This window comes from Homo sapiens, chromosome 1, assembly GCF_000001405.40.
Source record: "Homo sapiens chromosome 1, GRCh38.p14 Primary Assembly".
Lineage (NCBI taxonomy): Eukaryota > Metazoa > Chordata > Mammalia > Primates > Hominidae > Homo > Homo sapiens.
Genome location: NC_000001.11, coordinates 89788358 through 89796726, shown reverse-complemented (window position 1 = coordinate 89796726; position 8369 = coordinate 89788358). Strand labels below are relative to the sequence as shown.

The following is an 8369-nucleotide window of genomic DNA, read 5'->3' as shown; positions in this document are numbered from 1 at the left end:
TCTGGGACTATGGTACTGTTACAGCATTTGGGATATCAAAACATTGTTTTGGATACAGAATGAAAATGTAGTTCTTGTTCCCTAAGCTCCTTGCGTGTTTGAAAACATATCTGTCTGACTTAAATGTTAGACCTAAAACCATAAAAAGCCTAGAAGAAAACCTAGGCAATACCATTCAGGACATAGGCATGGGCAAAGACTTCATGTCTAAAACACCATAAGCAATGGCAACAAAAGCCAAAATTGACAAATGGGACCTAATTAAACTAAAGAGCTTCTGCACAGCAAAAGAAACTACCATCAGAGTGAACAGGCAACCTACAGAATGGGAGAAAATTTTCGCAATCTACCCATCTGACAAAAGGCTAATATCCAGAATCTACAAAGAACTTAAACAAATTTGCAAGAAAAAATCAAACAACCCAGTCAAAAAGTGGGCAAAGGATACGAACAGACACTTCTCAAAAGAAGACATTTATGCAGCCAACAGACACATGAAAAAATGCTCATCATCACTGGTCATCAGAGAAATGCAAATCAAAACCACAATGAGATACCATCTCATACCAGTTAGAACGGTGATCATTAAAAAGTCAGGAAACAACAGGTGCTGGAGAGGATGTGGAGAAATAGGAATACTTTTACACTGTTGGTGGGAGTGTAAACTAGTTCAACCATTGTAGAAGACAGTGTGGCGATTCCTCAAGGATCTAGAACTAGAAATACCATTTGACCCAGTGATCCCATTACTGGGTATATACCCAGAGGATTATAAATCATGCTGCTATAAAGACACATGCACACGTATGTTTATTGCGGCACTATTCACAATAGCAAAGACTTGGAACCAACCCAAACGTCCATCAATGATAGACTGGATTAAGAAAATGTGGCACATATACACCATGGAATACTATGCAGGCATAAACAAGGATGAGTTCATGTCCTTTGTAGGGAGATGGATGAAGCTGGAAACCATCATTCTGAGCAAACTATCACAAGGACAGAAAACCAAACACTGCATGTTCTCACTCATAGGTGGGAATTGAACAATGAGAACACTTGGACATAGGGCAGGGAACATCACACACCAGGGCCTGTCGTGGGGTAGGGGTATGGGGGAGGGATAGCATTAGGAGAAATACCTAATGTAAATGATGAGTTAATGGGTGCAGCAAACCAACATGGCACATGTATACATATGTAGCAAACCTGCACATTGTGCACATGTACCCTAGAACTTAAAGTATAATAATAATAATAATAAAAGAAAACATGTCAGTCTGAGTTCTTCTGCAGCTATTTGACATAGCAGAGAGTGATACTCCTTGTCATCCAGTTTCCCAGTGAGCCCACCATCCTGACCTCCCCTGCCCCAGCTGTACTCAAAAGCCCTCTCCATGAGGTGAAGGGAAAGGACAGGTGGAATCTTGCCTCCACCTGCCAACTTGCGGTGGGGTGTGGGGAGAAGCTGAGGGAGCCCTGGGGGCGTGGGAAGCAGCGCTGACAGTTAGACTGTAAGAGCCCAGGGTAGGAACTGGGCCTTTCGCTCAGTACCTTGGGCCAGGTCTGGCACATAGCAGACACTTATGGAATATCTAGAGGATGAATGACTGGTCACTGGGATGCTAGCGGCCAGGTCAGCCCATTTCTCTTTGATGATGTTCCTTCCTGGGTCCTGGACTTTTCAGAACATTAAAATATGGGCTGGGCGTGGTGGCTCACACCTGTAATCCCAGCACTTTGGGAGGCTGAGGTGGGCAGATCACGAGATGAGGAGATCCAGACCATCCTAGCCAACATGGTGAAACCCTGCCTCTACTAAAAATACAAAAAATTAGCCAGGCGTGGTGGCGCGCACTTGTAGTCCCAGCTACTTGGGAAGCTGAGGCAGAATTGTTTGAATCTGGGAGGCGGAGGTTGCAGTAAGCTGAGACAGCACCACTGCACTCCAGCCTGGCAACAGAGTGAGACTCCATCCCCACCCCCCACCCCCCAAAATAGGGTCTGATTTGGGGGTTCGAAATCATGGTAACTGTTTCAGGAAGGGATGTGTTCAGCTCAAGTGCTCTTTGAGCCCCAAGTGAAAGTGCTACTCCATCCCCCTGAAAAAGCAACGTGGCAGCGCCTTCCCTGAGACCTTGCCAGGAAAGCCTGGGCCTCACACTGCAGGAGGAATTCCTTGTGCATTCCGGAGTTACTCTTTACAGGACTCAGTGACTGGCTGGATTTTGACTGAGGGAGAGGGAGGAGTCCATGACTTCTACTATGATTTCTAGAAACTATACCAGGTACTAGTCACGTGCATTGAACAGCTGTTTAAATGATTAATGAAAGAATTGGCTTCTATACTTACAACTTAATTTCACCTAAATATCAGAAAAAATTAAAATGTAAATCAATTGTATAACTTGATGCCAACTTGTCTCTTTTGTCTGGATTCTGGGGTAATACATGGTGAGATTACCTATCCCCACCCTTATCCACAAAAATAACATACAAAAAATTCATTAAGAAGAGATATGTTTATAGGTATTATTACCTCTAATCCTATAGAAAATTAGGGAGCATAAACTAAATTTTCTACGGAACTAACCCATTCACCAGGTGAGGTAGGTCAACATTTCTAGCATGTAACATTTCTAGTAGGCTCTGTATCAGGTCACCTGCCAAACACATTCAATAAGTGTATGAGGTATCTCTTGCTGTATAATGAATTAACCCAAAGTTTAGTGGCTTAAAACAACAAACATTTATTATAGCACAGTTTCTGTAGGTCAGGAATTGGGAGTGACTTAGCTAGGTTTTTACCCCCATCTTTACAAATTGTATAATTGACAAAAATTGTATATGTTCAAGGTATACAACATGGTGATTTGCTATATGTATACATTGTATAATGATTACCACTGTCAAATTAATGAACACATCTATCACCACACTTAGTTACCATTTTGTGTGTGTGTGCGTGTGTGCGCGCGTGTGTGTGTGTGGTAAAGGCACTTAAGGTCCACTCAATTAGCAAATTTCAAGTGAATAATACAGTATTATTAACTATAATAACCATGCTGTAAATTAGAAACCCAGAACTTATTCATCTTATGTCTAAAAATTTGTACTCTTTAATCAACATCTCCCCACCTGCCCCTGCCCAGCCCCTGGTAGCTACCATTCTATTCCCTGCCTCTATGAGTTCACATTTTTTAGATTCCACATATAAATGAGATCATAGAGTATTTGTATATCTGTGTCTGTTTTATTTCAGTTAGCATAATGTCCTTCAATTTCATCCATGTTGTTGCAAATGGTAGGATTCACATATTTTATTATAGCTGACTAATAGTCCTATATATATATTTTTTTCTTTTTCTTTTTTTTGAGATGGAGTCTCTCTCTGTCACCCAGGCTGGAGTGCAGTGGTGTGATCTTGGCTCACTGCAACTTCCGCCTCCTGGGTTCAAGTGTTTCTCCTGCCTGAGCCTCCTGAGTAACTGGGATTACAGGCACCCACCACCACACTCGGCCAATTTTTTTGTCTTTTCAGTAGAGATGGGGTCTTCACATGTTGCCCAGATTGGTTTTGAACTCCTGATTTTAAGTGATCCACCCTTCTCGGCCTCGGCCTCGCAAAGTGCTGGGACAATAGGCATGAGCCACAGCACCTGGCATATATTCTACACTTTCCTTATTCATTCATCCATTAGTGGACACTTAGGTTGTTTCCATATTTTGGCTATTGTGAATAATGCTGCAATGAACATGAGGGTGCAGGTATCTCTTTGATACTGATTTCATTTCCTTTGGAGATATACTCAAAAGTGGGATTGTTAGACTGTATGTGATAGGATTTGGGTCTGTGTCCCTGCCCAAATCTCATGTGAAATTGTAATCCCCAATGTCGGAGGTGGGGCCTTGTGGAGGGTGATTGGATCATGGTGGTGGATCTCCCCTTTGGTGCTGTTCTTGTGACAGTGAGTGAGTTATTGTGAGGTCTGGTTGTTTAAAAGTGTGTAAGCACCTTCCACCTTGCTTTCTTCCTCCTGCTCCAGCCATATAAGATGTAACAGCTTCCCCTTCTGCCATGATTGTAAGTTTCCCTAGGCCTCCCTAGCTATGCTTCCTGTACAGCCTGCAGAACCATGACCAAATTAAACCTCTTTTCTTTATAAATTACCCAGTCTCATGTAGTTCTTTATAGCAGTGTGAGAATGGACTAATACAGTATGAACTTCTGTTTCATTTTTTTGAGGAACCTCCATATTTTTTCTATAACGGCTATACCAATTTACATTCCCTGGCTAGGTGGTTCTGTCTCAGGCTCTCCTATGAGGTAAACTGGATGTCTCCTGGGGCTGCAGTTATCTGAAGATTTCATTGAAGCTTGAGTATCTACTTCCATGCTCATCTCAGTTTCTTGTTTGCTATTGACTGGAGGCCTCAAGATTTTGGCCATGTGGGCCTCTTTATAGGGCTGCCTGAGTGTCCTCATGGCATGGCACTTGGATTCCCTCAGAAAAAGTGATCTACCTGAGAAAATCCTGGCAGAAGCAACACTGCTGTTATAATCTAGCCTCAGCAGTCACACATTATCACTTCTGTCATATTCTATTGGTCACACAGACCAACTCTGATAGAGCATGGGAGGATACCACACCATGGTAAATACCAGGGGCCTCTATAGTCTGAGATTAATTTTCTTCTATGATCACCAAGATCAAACGTAATGCAATTAATTAGAAATACAAATGAAACACTGTCCTTATTTTCAGAAGCACATTTTGCTATTGCTCTTATCCTCTCACCTTGTAACCTTTTATGTGAGTATATTATGTTATTTTGGTTAGGTTTGACTAAAGTTCTGCCACAAAGGAACTTGCAAATATGGTAGCTAAGATGAAATAGAAGTTTCTTTCTCTTTCACATACCAGTCCAGAAGGGGTTGCAGCAGTGAAAGGTGGTCCTGTTCATTGAGGGCACCCAGGGGGTCAGATTCTTTCTATTTATTGCATTTGCCTCCAGGATTCTGACTTAATCTGCACAGTCAAAACTGTTTCAGCAGTGCAGAATTTGGGGGGAGGAGGGCTAGGATGTGGAGTTGTAATAGCTTCTTTTATAAGGATGTGACCTAGAAATTGGACTCATCAATTCCACTTACATTCACGGGCCATAGTCAGTCACATGGACATGCCAGCCTGCAAGAGGAGCTGGGAAATGTAGTCTCCATCTGGTGACCCATGTGCCCGGTTGAAACTTGTGGGGCTGAAGAGGAAGAGAATAAATCATGGGGGTCAGTTAGTGTTCTCTGTCACATAATTGAATAGACAGCAGATAGGCAGAAACTACATGACACAGTGAGGCTCTGGGTTAGGAGTTGGAGCTGCTAGCTCTACCACTAGTTATAAGACCAGATGTAAGTTATTTATTGATTTTCATCATCAGTAAAATGAGCTTATTGAACTAGTCAGCAATTTCCAATTTATAGGCTTTAGACTCGGAGGGAACTTAGGTGTGCCTGCAAGGAATTTTAGGAATGTTTGTGAATCAAGCATTTTGTCAATGGAATGAATAATACATCTTATACATGTGTATACTACTAATTTTCAATGTAGGTAATGTCATAATTATTAAAATATAATATTTAAACTTTTATTAAGTTTGTAGTTGATTTTACTTTATTAAATAATTTTCTGAATGTCCAGAATTACAATGCTATCATATGATGGTCTGTGACCTTTTTTAATATTAAAAAAAGATTTTTGTACTTGCATTCCCTGCACATAACGGGCATTCAGTAAACATTTGTTGAGTGGATTAAATAAAACGTAAGGCACCAGTGAATAAGATGATCACTTTGGTCTCTGCCAACTCTAAATTCTTATAAATCCTTTACTCTAACTCTGAGGCAGTTTTCCAGGTTGAGTTTTTACTGTAATCAGTCATTTCTACATAATTAAAACCAGCTCTGGTCTACTGCACCAGTTACCAAAGACTGGGAGACATTTCTGTTTCACATGCATATAATAGCACCACTCACTTAGTATTCAGGTCTTCAAAATCTTTTCCTGGAAAGAATCTTTCCTTGTTGTAAAAATGAGGTCTGTGGAACTTACATGCCACCCTTTGAAGGTTTCATATTATAAATTCATTCAGAAACATGGATTACGTCTGCTTGTAAGGGGAGAATTAGGAGACAGTGTGGCACATCCGCAGTGGGAAGGACATTTCAAAGGCTCGTCACAAAAACCCAATTATTTATTTTGCCATACAGTGGCTATTAAGTTCTGAGATAGTGACATAAGAATATAAAATAAAATATGTTGGCCTGTAGGTTGAGAAAGTTCATGGTGCTCCCCTCACGCACCTCTGAGACTATCCCAGGAGGAAGGATGTTACCGTGGATCAGCCATGTTCAGGGACAGTCTTGGGTCATACTTTTTAAGGCATGGAGCATTAGAAGTGGAGCTTGAAAAAGCTTGACTTAGGGGCCTATACCACTTCTGGCTCTTGAGATGGTTTTCCTCTGGAGGGGAAAGGAAGAAGGAGAAGACTTGGCTTCTTCATTTCATTCTCTCTTGCTTCTTCACTCTCGCCTTTTCCCATCTTCCTGGGTAAGTCAGAAGGGCTGTGCTGAGTTCACCTGAGGGCTGGGGCTGGCTGCCCAGAGAAGCTCTGACCTGTGCATTAAGTTTCATTTTACAATAGAGAAAATTGTTTTGAAGTGTAACAACCCACAAATTCAAAGTTAGAAGGGTTTGGCGCAGTGGCTCATATCTGTAATCTCAACACTTTGTGAGGTTCAGGTGGGAGCATCACTTGAGGCCAGGAGTTTGAGGCCAACCTGGGCAACATAGTAAGACCTCATTTCTACAAAAAATAAAAAATAAAGAAAGCCAGATGTGGTGGTGCACACTTGTAATCCCACCTACTCAGGAAGCTGAGGTGGAAGGGTCACTTGAGCCTGGGAGGTCGAGGCTGCAGTGAACTGTGATTATACCACTGCACTCCAGCCTGGGTGACAGAGCCAGACCCTGTCTTTTAAAAAAAAGTTAGAAGGCTGTGGTTTAAATCCCACCAACTATGTGATATTGGCTAAAATATTTAGCCTCTTCTTTTCCTGGAAGAGTGTGTGTGTGTGTGTGTGTGTGTGTGTGTGTGTGTGTGTGTGACATATCTTATAGGAGTTAGGAGTAAATGAGCTTCCAGAGATAACAATTGTCTGCTATATGCCAGTTCTTTTTTGATGTTGTTTGTTGTTTGATTTTGTTCTTTATGAGACAGGGTCTTGCTCTGTCACCCAGGCTGGAGTGCAGTGAGATGATCACGGCTCACTGCATCCTTGACTTCCCGTGCTCAAGCGATCCTCCCACTTCAGTCTCCCAGGTAGCTGGGACCACAGGCATGAGCCACCATGCCTGGCTAATTTTTAAATATTTTTGTAGAGATGGGGGTCTCCCTATGTTGCCTAGGATGTTCTCAAACTCTTGGGCTCAAGCAATCCTCCTGCTTTGGCTTCTCAAAGTGTTGGAATGACAGGTGTGAGCCACTGCACCTGGTTCTATATGCCAGTCTTAAGAAAATAAATAAATGTTTCTTAGGAGAGGTCCATTTGTTCCATTTTTAAAAGGGATCCAATGTCATAACTCAAACTAGAGGGCACTGGCTCATTCCTGTGCCTCATAATGCCCCAGGGAGGCCCAACAACTTTGCAGCTCAGACACGTTTTCCCTCAGCTCTATCTTCTCACCTCGGGTTTGAAAATGGAGGGATTTGTAAGGGAGGATCTACGTTCATGGCAAAACTTCATTCTGCACTCCTGTGTCCCCTTCAGCCAAGGTCAAATGGTCCAGTTGGCCTCTCAATTATAGGTCCTGATCGTTAACAAAATGAACATTTATTCAGACATACCATGAATAATGTTAAGTACCCTACATAATCTATTTAATCTTCAAAACACACCTAAGGAGAGGCTCTGTTTATTTTTATCCTATTTTTACATATGAGAAAATTGACCCTTAGACAGATTCAGTGATTTGCCCAGGGAACACAGTTAATAAGTAGGAAGCTAGTGGCTGAATTTGGCAGCCTGACCTTAAAGCCTCAACTCTGACCCACCTGTCGCTAGGTTCCCTTATTGATGTCTCACCTGCGGTTATACCATGCATCCTAATTGACCTCAACAGTCCTGGCTTCCACTATTCTGTCCCTTTTGTCCATGAAGATGCTCTAACTTGTCAAATTCTGGGTCTCAATTTCTGGTAATGTTTTAACCATAGGTGACAATCATGTGTTCATTTAACAGACACTTACATAGTGCTTACTATTCTAGCTGTTCTATTGAAGTTAATTTATTAAATTAATATTAGGGTTAA

The 8369-nt window shown here is 41.8% G+C and overlaps 1 long non-coding RNA gene across 1 annotated transcript; it reads right to left on the bottom strand.

Moving 5' to 3' along the window:
* Nucleotides 1-6231: 6231 nt before the first annotated feature.
* LOC101927975 (uncharacterized) lies at nt 6232-8357 on the bottom strand. Its single transcript, XR_001738141.2, has 2 exons — nt 7745-8357; nt 6232-6674 (listed from the first exon to the last, which is right to left on the bottom strand). It is a non-coding gene; the product is annotated as an uncharacterized LOC101927975 (long non-coding RNA).
* Nucleotides 8358-8369: the final 12 nt, after the last annotated feature.